The 18,503-nt window shown below is 45.5% G+C and overlaps 1 protein-coding gene and 1 long non-coding RNA gene across 2 annotated transcripts in view, besides 1 other annotated feature; one reads left to right on the forward strand and one right to left on the reverse strand.

Annotated features, from left to right (window-relative positions):
• Positions 1-13,633: 13,633 nt before the first annotated feature.
• On the reverse strand, positions 13,634-17,134 carry LOC124905975 (uncharacterized). Its single transcript, XR_007086224.1, has 2 exons — positions 16,825-17,134; positions 13,634-16,697 (listed from the first exon to the last, which is right to left on the reverse strand). It is a non-coding gene; the product is annotated as an uncharacterized LOC124905975 (long non-coding RNA).
• Positions 17,233-18,503, forward strand: part of DDX1 (DEAD-box helicase 1) — a 39,234-nt gene continuing 37,963 nt past the window's right edge. The window contains exon 1 of the mRNA NM_004939.3: positions 17,233-17,314. Within this exon, the coding sequence (NP_004930.1) occupies positions 17,299-17,314 (16 nt within the window). The 5' untranslated portion in view covers positions 17,233-17,298. The remainder of the gene's footprint in view (positions 17,315-18,503) is intronic.
• Positions 17,272-17,331: an enhancer, noted in NCBI's record as "active region_15347". NCBI's record gives its function as "activates an Ori minimal core promoter by ATAC-STARR-seq in GM12878 lymphoblastoid cells {active_cell/tissue: GM12878}" and the evidence as "EXISTENCE:reporter gene assay evidence [ECO:0000049][PMID:35858748]".

Consider the following 18,503-nt stretch of genomic DNA (forward strand, 5'->3'; position numbering starts at 1 on the left):
GCTACTGTGAAGGAAGGAAGGCCAGGCCCCTGTGTGGGGCCTTGGAGGAGGAGGTAGCACGGGGTACTCCCCACATCCCCCCAGCAGCAGCCCCAGCCTCCTTAAAGCCCTCACAGAGGGCAGTCCAGGAAGCTGCCCTGAAAACATGTCATCCTCCTCCTAAAAATGTGTTTCCCTTTGGATGTTAGTACCATTGTTCATGCCTCACCATTAACATGCTTGAACGTATAGCAAATGTGCTTTGCCCAGATCACTTTTTTGGTGGAAACTTTTCAGCAGCACATTTATAATTTATTAAACTAGTGTTCCTCAAACTTTACTGTAGATAAGAATCATGGAATAAAAATAAATTCCCAAGCCCCCTCTTCCCCAGTGGAGTGAACAGATCTCCCTCGGCCAAGGAGACCCCAGAAAATCTTTAAAAACTTTCCTGGCCAGGCACAGTGGCTCATACCTGTAACCCCAGCACTTTGGGAGGCCGAGGCAGGTGGATCACCTGAGGTCAGGAGTTCGAGACCAGCCTGGCCAACATGGCGAAACCCCATCTCTACTAAATATACAAAAATTAGCTGGGCGTGGTGGCAGGTGCCTGTAATCCCAGCTACTAGGGAGGCTGAGGCAGGGAGAACTGCTTGAACCCAGGAGGTGGAGGTTGTGGTGAGCTGAGAGCACGACACTGCACTCCAGCCTGGGTGACAGAGCGAGACTCCATCTCAAAAACAAAACAAAACAAAACTGTTTCCTGGCCGAGACAAGATGGGAGGTTGGTCATGCCTCAGTGTGTCCCCTTCCTCACTAACCACTACTTAAGAGTTAAACAGAAACCAGCCCTGGAAAGCAAAGAACAGAAAACTTCTCCACTGACATCAACTTCAACCAGTTGCTTGGTGTCTCAGCCAGACTCTCCTCCCTTTTCAAGATTTTGACATGACAGCTGACCAAAGCACCCCTTCCATTGAAGGAATGACCGTCCACCATGGAAGGGTTCTGGCCAGTTTACACAGACTGTGCACAAAGCAGCTTCATGTCCTACATTTCCTTTTGACATATGGAGTCTAATATTACTGCATTTTAATGATACATCTCCACTGCAAAGTCAACATGGGATGTATGTAACATATATGTTTGCTTATCACACTCATGTGTGATCCCCCTTTCATTAATATTCCTAACTCCTATAACCTGTCAAATATGTATGTTCAGCCAACCCATTTAGCATAAAACTCCTGTCTACCCTTCCTCCCTCAAAGTTCCAGCTTTTTTTTTTTTTTTTTTGAGACAGGGTCTCACTGTGTCACCCAGGCTGGAGCGCAGTGGCACCATCATGGCTCAATGCAGCCTCGACCTCCTGAGCTCAAGTGGTTCTCCTGAGTAGCTGGAACTACAGGCACACACCACCACACCCAGCTAATTTTTGTTTTTGTTTTGTTTTGTTTTGTTTTTTTGGTGGAGACAGGGTCTCACCATGTTGCCCATGCTGAGCAAATTCGTGGGCTCAAGCAATCCACGTGCCTTGGCCTCCCAAAGTGCTGAGAGTACAGGCATGAGCCACCGTACCCAGCCTAAAGTGCAGGCTTTGATCTCAGCCAGAGGCTCCACTTCCCAGCCTGAAGGTTGCAAGCAATCATAAGAAATAAAGTTTTCCATTCCAAATGTATAGAGCTTAAGACTTTAAGTGGACATAATTAATTTAAGCCAGTTCCAAGGGCCTGACTGCCCTTGCACACTGACTGAAAGGGAAGTCCCTGTCTCTCTAGGGCTGAATTTTGGACTGGGAGACACAAACTGAGATGTCCCTGTGGACACCGCTGTCACTGTAGTCTTCCAGTTCTTTTGTGCTAGTACCCACAGCTAAGGGAGAAAGTTTCTCTCTTTCTCCTGATTGAAACCATTCCCTTCACCCATCGTAATTCCTTCTTTCTTCTCTGAAGCTGGGCTTAATCTTGGGCATCCTTGTGCAGATTCCCTCTTTACTAGCGATGTCCCCTCAGCCTGTGAACACACTCAAGTTTCTCTCATGACTAAAAAAACTGGCCAGGCATGATGCCTCATGCCTGTAATCCCAGCACTTTTGAAGTCCAAGGCAGGTGGATTGTTGAGCCCAGGAGTTCAAGGCCAGCCTAGGCAACATGGCAAAGCCCCGTCTCTACAGAAAAATACAAAAACATTAGCTGGGTGTGGTGGCACGTACCTGTGATTCCAGCTACATGTGAGGCTGAGGTAGGAGGCTCACTTGTACCCAGGAGGTAAAGACTGCAGTCATCTAAGATTGTGCCACTGTACTCCAGCCTGGGCAACGGAGCAAGACTGTCTCAAAAATAAAAAATAAAAAAATGAAGCCATCCCTTGACCCCCACATCCATCCTGCATTTCCATCTAGTTTATTTTCACCTCATCCAAACTTCTTACAACAGGAGTCTATGCTCACTAGTAGTCTCTTCTCATTTAGCCCTTAACCTACTATAACCTGGGTTCTAATTACTCCACTAACGTGTCCAACATATAATGCTAATCATCCCATAAATTTCCAGAATGTCTATACTCTTGGTTTCTGTAATAACAGACTCTTCGAATTGTCCTTATAGTTCTGACTTTACTTGCATCCTCTAGGGCCTTCTCCCTGTTCTCTGCACCACACTGCCCCCTAGTGCTTGGGTTCTCTACACCTTGTTACTACAACAGTGCTGCTCAGACCAGTGGCTTTGGCATCACGAGGAGCTTGTTAGGGATGTATCTCAGGCCCGTCCCAGACCTGCTGAGTCCATATCTGCATTTTAACAGAATCCCCAGGTGATGTTCATGCACAGCAAAGGGTGAGAAGCAGCTCCACGACTCAGTCCTCACTCCCTGCTCTTCTCTTTTCTGGGTGAGCTCATCAATTCCCAGGGTCACTACCTATTTGTTGAGGTTTCTCAAATCTCTATCTCAACCCAAAGTACTTCCTCCAGGTTTCAGTCTCACATAGCAGACTACTTGCTGGCCATGATATTCACACAGAACTCAACAGACCCGTGCCTACCAACCAGCTGCCCCTCCTGTAATCTATTTTTCCCAGCTGATGCTAATATCACTCACCCAGTTATCCATACTGAAACCTGCGCATTGCACTAACGCCTTTCTTCCTCTCATTACTCTCCCTTCACTCTCCCCCTCTACCCCCATTAAATTCAACAAGTCATCAAATCCTGGCATGTTAATGGTATTTCTCTTACCTGTCCTCTCCTGCCTGACACAATTTCTTTGTCCTCATTCAAGTTTCAATTACATCTTATATATACTGCTGCAATAACAGCCTTGTAATTGTGCCTACACAGATATGTTCTTCACACAATCACCAGGAAGAGTTTTATAAAATGGAAATACGATCATCTCACTGTCTTGCTTAATATCTGTCCCACCCACCACAGTGGTTCTCAAATCATGGTCCCTGGACCAGGAGTATTAGCATGGTACTCACAAGTTGCCTGGGAACCTGTGAGAACTGCAAATGATGGGTCTAGCCCCAGATCTCTGAATCAGAAAGTCTAAGGAGGAGGTTCCTACATCCTGTTTTAACAAGCTCCAGGTGATTCTGGTGCACACTGAAGGCTGAGGCCCGCTGACCTCCCAGAGTAAACCTTGATCAGCAAACATTTCCCCCGATACAGCTCAGGTCCAAACTCTTTAGCATTATTTCTGTCTACTTTTCAATTTTGAACTTGACATGTGAGGAATGGAGGAATATTTTTTATTTCTATGTATGGTAACCAATCTTCAAAATGACACCCCTGCCCCATTCCCCAGCCTCCTAGTGTCCATGCACTTATGCAGTGCCTTCCACATTGAACAGGGCTGGCCTGTGTAACCAGCAGGATAGTGTGGAAATGATGGTGTGAGACTTCAGAGGTTACAGCAACCTCTCTCTTGAATCAGTTGCTGGGGGTAGACACCTGCCATGAGTGACGACACTCAAGAACCCCATGGAGAGGTCCAGGTGCTGAAAAACTGAGGTCTTCTGTCAGCCAGCACTAACTCACCAGGTGCATGAGGGAGCCTGCTCACAAGTGGATCCTTCAGCCCTGGTTGACATCTTGACTGCAGCCTCATGAGAGATTCTAAGCCAAAACCATCGTAATAAGTCATTCCTGGATTTCTGACCCACAGAAACAATGTAAGATAATCAATATTTTTGTTTTAAGCCACTAAGTTCTGGTGTGGTTGTAATGCAGCATTGGATGATTAATACATCAGGGTACACCATCCTGTTTCTTGCCACTGTGTAAGTCTCCATGCTGTCCCCTCTACCTGAAAAGCTTCCCCTCCTTTCTTCCCCCATAAGCCCCTCTTCATCTAATTAAATTCAATCCACCTTTTAATATTCATCTGAGATATTATCTTCTCCAAAATCCCTTCTCTGACCCTTCCAGACTGGCTTAGCTGTCTACTCTGAGTTCCCATGATACTCTGACTATATCTCTACCATTGCATTTCTGCCTTGTGTAAATTATGTGTTTACATTTATCTCGGTTGAAAAACTTAGATTATCTTGAAAGCAAAGAAGTGTGTCTTATTCATATTTGTCTTACTCATATCCCCAGCACTATCATAGGCTTTGGCACATAGGAGGCACTTCATCAGTTTTGTTAGGTGAATAGCAAATGAAGGATCTTTGTGAAGCTCTTAGAGATGATTCATGGAAAGAACATAGTGCCTTGTTCACTCTCAGGCCTCAGTATGTTTCCATTTCTTCCCAGGGCAGAAGTAGCTTCCAAATCAGGAGATTCAATATATCCACTTGTGGCAGATTGCATTTCCCAAAGATGGCCATATGCTCTGAATCAGTATCCAATATATGATACCATTTCTCCCATAGCCAAGATTCCCAGGTCCAGGAATCAAGGGGCAGAGATGTGAATGGTGCCACTCACTATTACCTCTAGTGAGCCACTAGCAAAATTTTTACTTCCAGTTCCTGTGACTTTACACTCTTCTGACCTAGATAGAGGTCTTAGCTCCAAAGGCAGGAATGTCTCCACCAGGAGACACAACAGTGATTCCATCGAACTGGAAGTTAAGATTGCCACCTGGTCACTCTGGGATTTGCATGCCTCTGAGTCAACAGGAAAAGAATGACTGTGCTGGCTGGGGTGATTGATCCTGATCACCAACTGGAAACTGAACTGCTTTTCCACAAGAGAGGTAAGGAAGAGTATGTCTGGAATACAGGAAATTCCTTAGGGCATTCTTACTGTTACCATGCCCCATGATTAAAGTCAATGGAAAACTACAACAACCCATTCCAGGCAAGACAAATGGTCCAGACCCTTCAGAATAAAAGTCAGTCTGGGTCACCAAATCAGGTCTCATGACCAGCTGTGGTGCTTGCTTAGAGCAAATGGAATACAGAACAGATAGTGGAAGAAGGTACAGTAGTTATAAATACCAGATATGACCACATAACTAGTTATAGAAACAAGGACTGTAATTGCCATGAGTATTTCTTCCTTATTTTGTTATGAATATATTTGTGTGTTTATAATGTATATATGTATGTATATATATGTATATGTGTGTATATATGTGTAAATGTGTGTATATATGTGTATGTTTGTATATATATATGTGTGTATATACATCTGTTTTGCTATACGTATGTACATACATATATGGCAAATGTCTTTATTTATGTATTTATTTGGTAGAGACAGGGTCTCACTATGTCACCCAAGCTGGTTTTGAACTCCTGGACTCAAGCGATCCATCTGCCTTAGCCTCCCAAGGTGCTGGGATTACAGACGTGAGCCACTGTGCCTGGCTGCAAATATCTTTGTTTTCTTCCCTCTTATCTCCTCATGTAACATAAGATACACTCATTTTATATTATAGTACCTAAGTATTGTTAATTTTATATCTAAATATTGACATAAAAATAGAATGTCAAGGAGAATAAACATCATCCAAGAGTTTTTACATCCTCTCCTGGGGAAGGAGCTAGTGTGTTTTCCAGTGTACACAGGACAGTTGTATCATCTTAGGTGGAATTATGACCTTGTTATTGTGTTTACTTGGAGATTAAGTATGGGTTAAGGAGATGCGTATGGGTGCCAAGTTGACAAGGCATGCATGTGTGATGTTTAATATTACGTATGAATATATGTGGGCTATGGTGCCCAGATATTTGGTCAAACATATTCTGGGGCTGGGCACAGAGGCTCATACCTGTAATCCCAGCACTTTAGGAGGCTGAGGCAGGCAAATCACTTGAGGTCAGGAGTTGGACACCAGCCTGGCCAACATGGTAAAAGCCTGTCTCTACTAAAAATACAAAAATTAGCCAGACATGGTGGCAGGCGCCTGTAATCCTAGCTACTCAGGAGGCTGAGGTGGGAGAATCGCTTGAACCCTGGAGGCGGAGGTTGCAGTGAGCTGAGATCACGCCACTGCACTCCAGCCTGAGCAATGGAGAAAACTCCATCTCAAAAAAAAAAAAACCCCAAAAAACAAACATATTCTGGATATTTCTGTGAGGATGTTTTTGGATGAGATTTACATTTAAATTGGTGGCTCACACCTGTAATCCCAGCACTTTGGGAGACCAAGGGGAGGTAGGACGATGGCTTGAGCCCAGGCATTTGAGACCAGTCTGGGCAATATGGTGAGATCCCCAACTCTATAAAAAATACAAACAATTAGCTGGGTGTAGTAACATGTGCCTGTAGTCCCAGATACTTGGGAGGCTGAGGTGGGATCACTTGAGTTCAGGAGGTCAAGGCTGCAGTGAGCCATGATCAGGCCACTGTACTCCAGCCTGGGTGACAGAATAAGACCCTGTCTCAATAAATAAATAAGTAACCAAATGAATAAACAGTTGGCCTTTGAGTAAAGTGGATTGCCCTCCATAATGTGGGTAGGCCTCATTCGGTTAAAGGCCTTGATAGAACAAAAGGCTGACCTCCCCCAACAAGAGGGAATTCTCTAGCAGATGGTCTTCGGGCTTCAACGGCAACATCAACTCTTCCTGGGTCTCCAGCCTGCCAGCCCACCCTATAGATTTTGGACTTGCTAGCCTTTTATAATCATGTGAGGCAATTTCTTAAAATAAATCTCTTTCTATATACACACACATCCTATTGCTTCTGTTTCTCTGGAAAACTCTAACACATCACCACACCAATTTATACCTTGTCCCATGTTTTCTTAAAATGTAATGTTGAGTCCAAGCACTATGGCTCACACCTGTAATCCCAGCACTTTCCAAGGCCAAGGTGGAGGAATTGCTTAACTCAGGAGTTGGAGACCAGCCTGGGCAACATAGTGAGACTTTCTCTCTAAAAACAAATAAAAAAATTAGCCAGGTATGGTGGTGCACACCTGTAGTCCCAGCTACTTGGGAGGCTGAGGCGGGAGGACGGCTTGAGCCTAGGAGATTGCGACTGCAGTGAATCATGATTGTGCCACTGCACTCCAGCCTGGGAGACAGAGCAAGACCCTGTCTCAAAAAGAAAAAAAATGTAATGTTGACGCTCCTCCTTCAAGTGGTGGCATCTATGATCCCTCCCCTTGAATCTGAGCAACCTTGTAATTATCTTAATGAATAAAATGAGAAGGAAATGACACCACTTGACTTCTGAAGCTTGGTCAATGAAGGCCACATGGCCCTTGGGATACTCACCTTTGGAATAAAGCCACAGTGTTGTGAAAAAGCCCAGGCTGCAGCTGGCCAACAGTCCCAGCTGGGTCTCATCCCAGCTAGGATGAGCATTAACTGAGTTATGAGAGTGACAACTTTGTCATGATTCCAGCCCCTGGACAAGGTGAGTATTGTGGAACAGAAATAAGCCATCCCTGCTGTGCCCAGGTTCCTCACCCTTAAAATCTATAAGCAAAGCAGACACATGTTTTAAGTCAAAAACATATTGGGGTAATTTGTTACGCAGCCATAGTAACTGGACCACCACCATTCAGAGCTACAGTGGAAGCAGCCTTTATAAATTCCTATTTTTATTATTGTATCATAGAAAACAGGCAGTATAAATTCTTATATTCAGAATTGTTTTCTCCAGGCATTTTGAACATTCTTGACCATCTTTTTTATTACCTACCCCTCTTTTTCATATAGCAAGTGGTTTTGTTTCAGTCTACTAAAAAAAAAAAAAATCACAGACCTTGTTAACAAGAAAACCTGAGATCAATTTCACAGACAGGAAGGAGGTGCAGCGAAGCAAGGAACCTGGGCGGGAGGCTGAGAAAGCGAGCCTGAGCTCTGTGTGCAGGTGCAAAATGGCTCTGTCGCAGGTGATGGAATTTGGGGATCCTGGCAGATTCTGGGCTGCTGGATTTGAAACATGTGTCTGACGTACATTCTGTTGTTAAACACCCATAAGTTTAGACTCCAAATGTGGCACCATTTCCTCTAGGGCTGACAGCATCACTCACAGAGGCTGACGAACACTCAAGATGGTGGGCGTGGGAGACAGGGACGTTCGTGCCTGCCGGCCAGTCGGCAGCCTACCATAAATTGTGTCCCTGCCTGGCTTGCATATGCGGAGAGTGACGCAGTTAGTGAGATCTCTTTTTCTGTTTTACAGTCCTTCTGAAACTCATCCGGGTTGCCCTTTGTCTCCCTCTCCCCATATATCTGGAGTGATGGACTTTATGACCACTTCTTCAGGGGATACGGAATTATAGATCTCTGGATTTATGTCTGTTTGCCAGGCCCCCTCTGGTCCCTGCACCATAAGGTGAATGCCGGGTCAGCGAGAATGATGTTGCATTCTAATAGATCTGGACCAGTTTCTGACAACTTATTTTGACAAAAGCATAAAATTCAATGATTGTTGCTCAACTCAGAAGTTATAGGAAATATGGGGGGGGAAAAAAGGATGTTTAAATGTGAGCCTCCCTATCTTCAAACTGCTCTGTGAGTCTGGTAAATTGTGAAAAACACAGAAAGCTAAGCCAACAAATTTAATGACAATGGCAAGTCTAGAAGCAACATAATTTACCCCAGAGAATGTGATATGAACATACTTTTTCCTGAGACTGAGGCATCACCACCTGCCACATGAACACATAAGGGGGTCTGTTAGGGAAGCAGGGATATGGTAGCCAGCCTTTGGGTTGCCTGCCCCACAAAAGATCCTTGTCTACTGGAATTCACACCTTTGTGTGTATTAGTTCTCTTCCATGCTGAATTGGCCTGTGTGGCCACTAAGATATCACAGAAGGGATAGTGTGACTTTGATGGCTATGCCATAAAAGATAATATTTATTCTGCTTTGTTCTCTAGGATGGCTTGCTTTAGTGGGGAAGGGTGAGGGGTTCCCAGCTGCAATATCATGAGAACACTGAAGTGGCCCAGGGAGAGATCTATGTGGAGAAAAGCAGAGGCCTCCCACTCACTGCCAGCACAGACAAGGGAGTGACCAAGCTTTAAAAACTGATCTTTCCGCCCTAGCAAAGCCTTGTGATGACTGCAATCCCAGCTAGCAGCTTGGCTACTACTGCAAGAGTGACTCCAAGTGGAACCTGCCTAGCCAAGCTGCTTCTGAATTCCTGTTCCACAAAAGCTGGGAGTAATAATAAATGTTTATTGTTTTAAGTTACTAGATTTTGGGGCAACTGGTTTCGTAGCAATAGATAACTAATGAGAGCATATAAATTAGGATTAGGTTTGGCTGCGTGAGACAGACTGCCCTCATCTCCCCTTCCTGCAAAGAAAGAAGATAGATCTTTATTTCTCTCTCATTTAAGAAATCTAGAGTCACAATTTTTGGCTGGTATGGTTCTCCAAAGGTGTCAGAGACTCAAGCTATTTTTCTGTTATTTTTCTGCTATTCTCAGTATATGGCTCTCATTTAGTGGTCCAAAATGGCTGCTCAAACCCCAGCCATCACATCCTCATTCCATCCAACAGGAAGGAAGAAATAAGGAGGAACACAACACCTCCATTATGGACATTTCCCAGAAGTCACATTTGACACCTCTGTTTATATACCACTGGTCAGAACATGGGTATATGGCCATATATAGCTACCAGGAAGGCTGGCAAATAGAGTATTCTGAGCAGCCATATGTCCAACTAAGTCAGAAGTTTAAGGAAAAAGAGAAATAAACATTGGGGAAGCAGGATTTGCTGCAAGTTGCTAGCTTAGTTGAATCTGAATGATAATTAGGAGTTTGCCAAGAAGATAGGTGTTATTATAGTTTGTTATATTGTAAATGCACCTACTACATTACAGAAGATGGTATATTATAAATGGCTGCAAACTCTTTGCAATTTACTGCATTGAATGTTAGAGTCTGTTTCTCCTCCCCATGAGTCATAGGCTGGTCCTATGACTTGTGTTGGCTGACAGAATGTAATAGAAGTGACACTGTATTACTTCCAAGGCTGGCTTAAGAGATATGCAGCTTTTGCTTTCTACTTTTGAGACACATCTTTGTGGTACTATGTAGGAAGTCTGTCTTCCCTAATACTAATCCCACTGTGAGAAAGTCCAAGCTGGCCACGTGGACAGAGCAATATCATGTAGAGGAATAATGGGCGACCACACATGGGAGTAAAGTCTTCTTTGACCTCCCAGCCCAGCCAAGACACCAGCTGAATGTGACCTAGTGAGTGACCTCAGGGAATGCCACATGGAAAAGAAGAACCAGCCAGCTAAGCCCTGCCCAAATTCCTGACCCCCTAAATTATGAGCAAATATATTGGCTGTTGTAGTATGCCTCTAAGTTTTGGTGTAGTTGTTCACAGCAACAGATAGCCAAAACTAAAAAGGGAAAGCCATTCTAGGGAGAGGGAACAGCATTTTAAAAACTACAGTGGTGACAGGCAATGTGGCATATGCAAGGATTTCTACACAGTTTGATATGCTAGAAAGTAAAATTTGTGGAGAGTGGCAGGTAATAAGGCTGGAAGTAAGCAGGAGGCTGGACATGGAGGACCATCCTATGGAGGGTGGATTCAGGAGCCTTACCAACTAAGAGCTGTGTTGAAGGGGAGAGAGTTTGTTAATGGAAAGACTGACCATAGCAAGATTCAAGATCCAGTGCAAGTACTCCTGAGTCGTTTTTTCCCTCCTAACAGGTAGATCTGGGGCAACCTACACGGACAGCATTTATGGAGGGGGAAGGTTACTGTTACTTGTGTGAAATGATGGGTAGGTTTGTATTCTATATTGTGAGGAAGGACTTTGTGAGGGAGGGGGTTTATGGATGACGATATTGTATTTTCTACTCAACTTCTTTTAGATTAAAACAAATTCTCTCTCTAGCTGCTTCCTCCTTCTTGGTGGTGAGATCCTCAGAAACTAAGCAGCTGGCTTTATCTTGTTCCAGAAGGACCTGGGAATAGGAACTGAGGAGGAGGGTGGATGTCAATGAAAGGACAAACTAAACAACCTAATTTGACTTGTGTTCCCTAGGCTGGGTTCAGAGTCACATCCTCTACTGTATATGTCACATTTCACCTTCATTTTCATTGTGAGGAAATGGCCATATATTCAGGGATAATTTTGGATGTTTCCCTCACAACTCAGGCCAAATGTCTCCTCCGCCTTTTAGCCAGAATAGCTTGATTATTGCTGTATTATGAAACATTCAAAAAATGTTCCTGAAAGATACATTACACAATATCCATAATGATGTGTGTTTTATTTCCTTTCTTTTCTGTACCTCTTAGCAAAGTGTTGGGCTGCAGAAAAAAGAAATTTTAAAGTGGCTTAACTGGGACATTCTCAAGCTGCAAGAGAGGTCTAGAGGTAGACAGACCTGGGCTTACCATCATTAAGGATCCAGCCTTTTATTTCTGCTTCAGTAGTCTTAGTGTGCGGCTTTTATCTTCGGGACTCATTGCTGACTTTCCAGGCATCATATCAATGTTCCAAAGGAAAAACGGTGCATGCCAGACAGATCTTTCCCTTTTGAAAAGCATTCCTGGAAGTCCCAACCTGGCACTGCCAGTTATATCTCTCCAGGCAGAGCTGAGTCTCTGGGCTGTCTCTCTACAAAGGAATCTGGAAAGGTGATTGTTTTCTTCTTCTTCCAAGTTTCCATTTTTTTTTTCTTTTTGAGAAGAGTGTGGCTGTGTCACCCAGACTAGAGTGCAGTGGTGTGATCACGGCTCACTGCATCCTCGACCTCTTGGGCTCAAAAATGATCCTTCATCATGACATCAGGAGATCAAGACCATCCTGGCTAACACGGTGAAATCCCGTCTCTACTAAAAATACAAAAAAATTAGCCCGGCATGGTGGCGGACGCCTGTAGTCCCAGCTACTCAGGAGGCTGAGGCAGGAGAATGGCGTGAACCCAGGAGGCGGAGCTTGCAGTGAGCCGAGATCACGCTGCTGTACTCTACTGTACTCTAGCCTGGATGACAGAGTGAGACTCCATCTCAAAAAAAAAAAAAAGATCCTCCCCCGGCCAGCTTCCCAAATAGGTGGACTGCAGGTGCGTGCCACCATGCTTGGTTAATTTTTTAAAGTTTTGTTAGAGAAAGGGACTCTATGTTGCCCAGGATGGTCTCAAACTCTTGGGCTTAAGTCATACTCCCACCTTGGCCTCCGAAAGTGGTGGAATTAAAGGCATAAGCCACTACGTCCAGCCTTTTTCAGATTTCTATAATAAAGAAAGGCAATGGGAAAGGGGACTACTATTGTTTGAATGTTCCCTCCAAACTTCACATTGCCAATGTAATTTTAAGAGGGGGGCCTTTAAGAGGTGATTGGCCCATGAAGGTTCTGCTCTCATGAATGGGATTGAAGCCCTTGTAAAAGAAGTTTCATGGAGCATTTGGTCTCTTGCCCTTGTACCTCCTGCCATGTAAGGACATAGAGCTCCTCCCTGCTGGAGGACATGGTGTTCAAGGCACCACCTTAAAAGCAGAAACCAAACCCTCACCAGACTATAAACTTACTGGCACCTTAATCTTGGACTTCCCAACCTCCAGAACTGGCAGAAATAATTTCTGTTCCTTATAAATTAGCCATTCTCAGGTATTTTGCTATAGCAGCACAAATGAGCTAACCTAGGAACTGTGTATGGCTTTTGGGTGGTCCATCTACAGAGGCCTTCCCAGGACCCATCCTCTCTACACTTTCCCAGATACCTGAAGGCATTTTTTTTCAGGTCTGCCTTAGTAGTTGCAAAACCATTTGCTCTACAGTGGGATATAATTATAATATAGCTTACTTGAAAATACATAGCATAATATCTTGGGCCCATGGATAACATAGTAAAACTTCCCTATCACATGATTAGTGGGGCCCAAACTACCCAATTACAGAAAATGTGGGGTTATTCTGAGGTTAAAAAAAAAATACTGGGGGCAAGCCCAGGCTGAGGGGTGTGTGTGTGTGTGTTTGAGACAGAGTCTTGCTCTGTCGCCTAGGCTGGAGTGCAGTGGCATGATCTCGGCTCACTTCAACCTCCGCCTCCTGGGTTCAAGTGATTCTCCTGCCTCAGCCTCCCAAGTAGCTGGGATTACAGGCGCCCGCCACCAAGCACGGCTAATTTTTTGTATTTTTAGTAGAGACAGGGTTTCACCATGTTGGCCAGGCTGGTCTTGAACTCCTGACCTCAGGTAATCCACCCACCTCGGTCTCCCAAAGTGCTGGGATTACAGGCATGAGACACCACGCTCAGCCATATGTGTTTTTTAATTATAATTTTTTAAACAGCTTTATTAAGGTATAATTTAAATACCATAAAATTCACTAATGTACAATTCAATGATTCACAGAGCTGTGCAACCAGCACCACAATCCAGTTGTTGAAGACTTCCATCACCCGCCTTAAATGTCGCACGTCCATTTGTATAAATGGAGACAGATGAACAAAAGCCTACGCTGGGAGTTTTTAGGGTCCAGTCCAATCTCTTCTCAGTTTGGCTACAGTTTGGTGCCACCTGGTGGTGTCTGTCCTGGTTTCTGGGACCAGGCCAGGGTTTCTAGGAATCTCCCAGTTAGTAGGCAACCATTAAATCAACCTATTCTTGGGGAGACTAGACCAGCAAAATACCAGACTGAAAGGCACCCATCCTCTATCTTTTGGTTTGGTGAAGGGCCTGGCTGCTGTTTCTCTGCCTGGTGTTATTCTACCTGCCAAGGAGAGGAGCCAATCATACCCCAATTCACATATCCCAATTTGCATTACTGAGGGCACTGCAACACATACATACAAATATCTATAATTATTAAAGCAGTATATTAAGTGAGCTGAACTTGATAAGGCACAAACAGAAAACATTATCTGTTACCTTGAAATCATCTCTATGGGTTATTTCTTTCCCTGACCTAGATGAAGTCTCTGGCATCTTCCAGAGCTTTTCTGGTCACTCTGAGACAATGAAGAGTTGTCTGGTTACTTTCATCTAATTATACCCTCGTTTCTGTAAACTATCATGTCCAGGATCGTGATTGAAATTCACAACTTCAACCAACATCATGGCTTCCTCCTCTTCCTGCTTGGCCTATTCCACGCCAGAAGCCTGCAGTGGGATGGAGGATGGGGTCAGTCTCTTTTCTGTACTCGCCTCTCCCATTAGCTGTTGTTTCTGACTCCTGGGAAGGATAAAGTCTAGGGGATGGGGTGGCGGGTGGGTACACACCTTTATCTGGCTGGGTTTATGGTGATCTGATTCTGGTGCTTTCTGGCTTAGACATGCTCAAGGCTGATTGTTTCTCTTAGAGGGAACTTTTTGTGGTATCTTGGAGATTCTCCTTGCTGGCATCCTCCACATGCAACTCCCATGAGACAAGAGATATCTCTTCTCCAGTTTGGAAGGTAAGGATGCCACTGCGTTCTTTGGGGGGTCTGTGTGCTGAATCATTTAGCTCCTCCGGGAAGTCTCTTGGGCACATTCCCTTTGAAGAAAACTTCCAGTCCACTCTCCACAGATCTATTTATCCCTTGGGGAAAAAATGTCACACGATTCCCCCACAGTTAACTCCTGCAGCAGGCTTCTCTCTCCTTCTCTCTGTCTCTTTTTCTGCCCTGCCACCTCAGGTCCTCCTAGGGACGGCTTCTCAGAGCAGTCCTTACGCTTCCCAAACTCTCAGATCAAAAGTTCTCAGAGTATTTCCCTGAAATGCATTCTTTTCACAGAAATCTTTTCTCTTAATTTGCATCTTTAATTTTTTCATACTTTATCTCTTCCTTGAGACAGGGTCTTGCTCTGCCACCCAGGCTGGAGTACAGTGACACCATCATAGCTCACTGCAGCCTCCACCTCCTAGGCTCAAGAGATCCTCCCACCTCAGCCTCCCAAGTAGCTGAGACTACAGGTGTGCACCATGCCCAACTATTTTTTAATTTTTTTTGGAGATGGGGGTCTCATTATGTTGCCCAGGCTGGTCTTGAACTTCTGGGCTCAAGTGATCCCCTTGCCTCAGCCTCCCAAGGTGTTGGGATTATAGACATGAGCCATCATGCCCAGCCGATTTTTCACACTTTAAAGGTGGGCATTGGCAAAAGGCACAAAAATTAGATTTCAGATTTCCCTTTGGCAAGTCCTGCATAATATGGGTCTTGTATCTCTCCTTGGAATGTGGGGGTACTTGGTATCCATTCAAAACTGGTACACTGCATAACTCTCAGGGTCTTATTTAGACAAAATATAACAAGAATAGAGAATATAATGTGAATAGTGCCCCCTGGAAGTGTAAAGCTGCAGGGCTGAGTGTATTGTCCTGGGCCTTTGGAGCTTCAGGTGAATCCTGTTACATGTAATAGTAATAACAGAGCTAGTTATATTGTCACCATGTGCTATGCACTATTTTAGATGCTTTATGTATTTTATTTGATCCTCATAACTATCATATGAGAAAGGTACTATTGTTCATCCCTATTTCACAGGTAAGTAAACTGAAGCCCAAAGAAGCTTCATGACTTGTTCAAGGTCACACAGCAAGCAAGTGGCAGACCTAGAATCCAAACTCAGAATATGGTTCCCAACTCTGTACTTCTAACCCTATTCTATCTTTTTTATTTTTTATTTTTTTGAGACAGACTCTCCCTCTGTCGCCCAGGCTAGAGTGTAGTGGCACGATCTCAGCTCACTGCAGCTTTCGCCTCCCAGGTTCATGTGATTCTCATGCCTCAGCCTCCGGAGTAGCTGCAACCCTATTCTTTTTTCTTTTTTTTTTTTTTTGAGACGGAGTCTCGCTCGGTCACCCAGGCTGGAGTGCAGTGGCGCGATCTCGGCTCACTGCAACCTTCGCCTCCTGGGTTCAAGCGATTCTCCTGCCTCAGCCTCCCGAGTAGCTGGGACTACAGGCATGCACCACCACACCCGGCTTCTTCTGTGTGTGTGTGTGTGTGTGTGTGTGTGTGTATTTTTTGTAGAGAAGGGGTTTCACCGTGTTAGCTAGGATGGTCTCGACCTCCTGACTTCGTGATCCGCCTGCCTCGGCCTCCCAAAGTGCTGGGATTACAGGCGTGAGCCCCCGCGCCCGGCCGCTGCAACCCTATTCTATCTTGCCTGAGGGTTCCACTTTTCTCCATGACACTCTGGGGCAGGCTACAGATAGCACAGCACGCGCCCTCGCATTGCGCAGATGTGGCTCAGATCCCACGCTGCCATTCGGTAGATATGTGTCTTTAGATAAGTGACTTAACTTTCCCGAATTTTAGAGTCCTCATCTAAAGATTCTAATACCTTCCTGACAGAGTGAGTGTCTGGTTGGGAGGATTCCTCATTTACTTTCCCCATCTCTCTGCAAAGAGAAAGGAGTTAAAATTGCATGGAAGTCAAACCCGAAATTATAAAAGCGACATCAAACATGGGTGAAGGGAGGGAGACCTAAATCATTACTTAGTTTAAAAAAAAAATGTAACAAATACCTACTGGCTGCCAGGCACTCACTGGCATTGGTGCTCAGGGCAATGAATCCAGTCCATCTCTCCGGGTCATTCACACACCAAGGCCCTGCTCACCTTTGGAAAGCTGGGGGACTGAGTGGGGAGGGCACGGTGTGGTGTCAGCCTGAGCCCACTGGATGACCCTAATCACCAAACATCTGCTTCCTTCTCTGTAGCTGTGACCCTGATACCGCGTGGTGTGCTCCGAACACATGGTGCCCAGAACGAAGGCGGCGTCCAGAAGCCCTAGGTCCCAGAGGTCCGCTCAGCGGCAGGCGCATAAGGCGGGGCCGGCGCGGGCCTTTCCTTCCATCGGAACCGTTCTCCCGGGGCTGAGTCCCTGCCCGGACTCCGAACGCCGAAGACCAGGGGCCGGAAGCGCGCGCCGCCACTGCCACGCCGTGTCAGTCGGGAGGGAGGGAGCGAGCAGGCGAAGCCGCGGAGGACGGGGTGAAGATGGCGGCCTTCTCCGGTGCGTTTGTGGAAACTCTGGGGGTGGTGGGGCGGCTTGTTGCACGCCTCAGCCCTGGGGCCGCCCGCGGAGAGCTAAAGGGGCGGGAGCGGACAGGGGTCAGGGAGACAGAAGGGCGCTGTCCGCTGCAGTCCCTGATGGACCCGCGTTGCGGGATCAGGGGCGGCCGCGGCTCGGGTTCGGAGGACGATTCTTCCCAGGAGCGGGCCGGAACGTCCCTCCCCCTGCCCTTTCCCTTCTACCAGTCTCCACTTGGCTTTCCTGCCAGTGCACCTTCGGCTGCAAAATCTAGGCGGCGGCGTTGCTCTGGCGGCTCCCAGACGCCTGGGCCTCCTGCCTCTTAACGTGGCAGTGACCCTTTGGGAACCCTTTTCTGCCCGCGGCTCATCTGGGCTTGGCCAGGCAGAGAGGCGAGACGGCGTGGGGAGGAGTCATTGGGGAAAAATGACGATCCTGCCTCTGTCCAGTTTTTTCAGGCCCTTCCAAAACGTCCCAGGCATAAACCTGATCTTTATTTGTTCTTAAACGTTGTTATATCAACATTAATGTTCAGTGTTGAAGCTAAAGGGAAAGCATTTTCATTAACGTACGCACCAGTCCAACATAAGTTTGGAAAATTCATATTTATTTGCCGTCTGCTACCCTCCTTTATTCCAAATATGATTTGATATGGCTTATCGAACCCTACAGTTGATATTTTCGCCTCTTGCTTTATCATCCTCCTGTTAGGCATCCAGTTTTAGGAAGCTGTAATCAGCCTTAAATGCGCTAAACGTGATACATTTATGTAGCACTTATGTAACGTTTATTGCTATATAAATGTATCACGTTAGGCCTAATGTCCTTTAATGTTATTAACTTTTTAAGATGACTTCAGATGTAGTATTTTATATTTTTTAGTTTTCTTCTGTAAGAATATTAGGAATTCCATATCTCCAGTCATGTAAGATATTTTTTTTCTTTTTTGGGGGGGAGAATGGGGGGGTGGGGGGATGTAGTCTCCTTCTGTCGCCCCAGCTGGAGTGCAATGGTGTGATCTTGGCTCACTGCAGCCTCCACCTCCCAGGTTCAAGCAATTCTCCTGCCTCAGCCTCCTGAGTAGCTGGGATTACAGGCGCCTACCACCATGCCCTGCTCATTTTTGTATTATTAGTAGAGACGGGGGTTTCACCATGTTGGCCAGGCTGGT

The sequence above is a fragment of the Homo sapiens genome, chromosome 2, assembly GCF_000001405.40.
Source record: "Homo sapiens chromosome 2, GRCh38.p14 Primary Assembly".
In the NCBI taxonomy this organism is placed as follows: domain Eukaryota; kingdom Metazoa; phylum Chordata; class Mammalia; order Primates; family Hominidae; genus Homo; species Homo sapiens.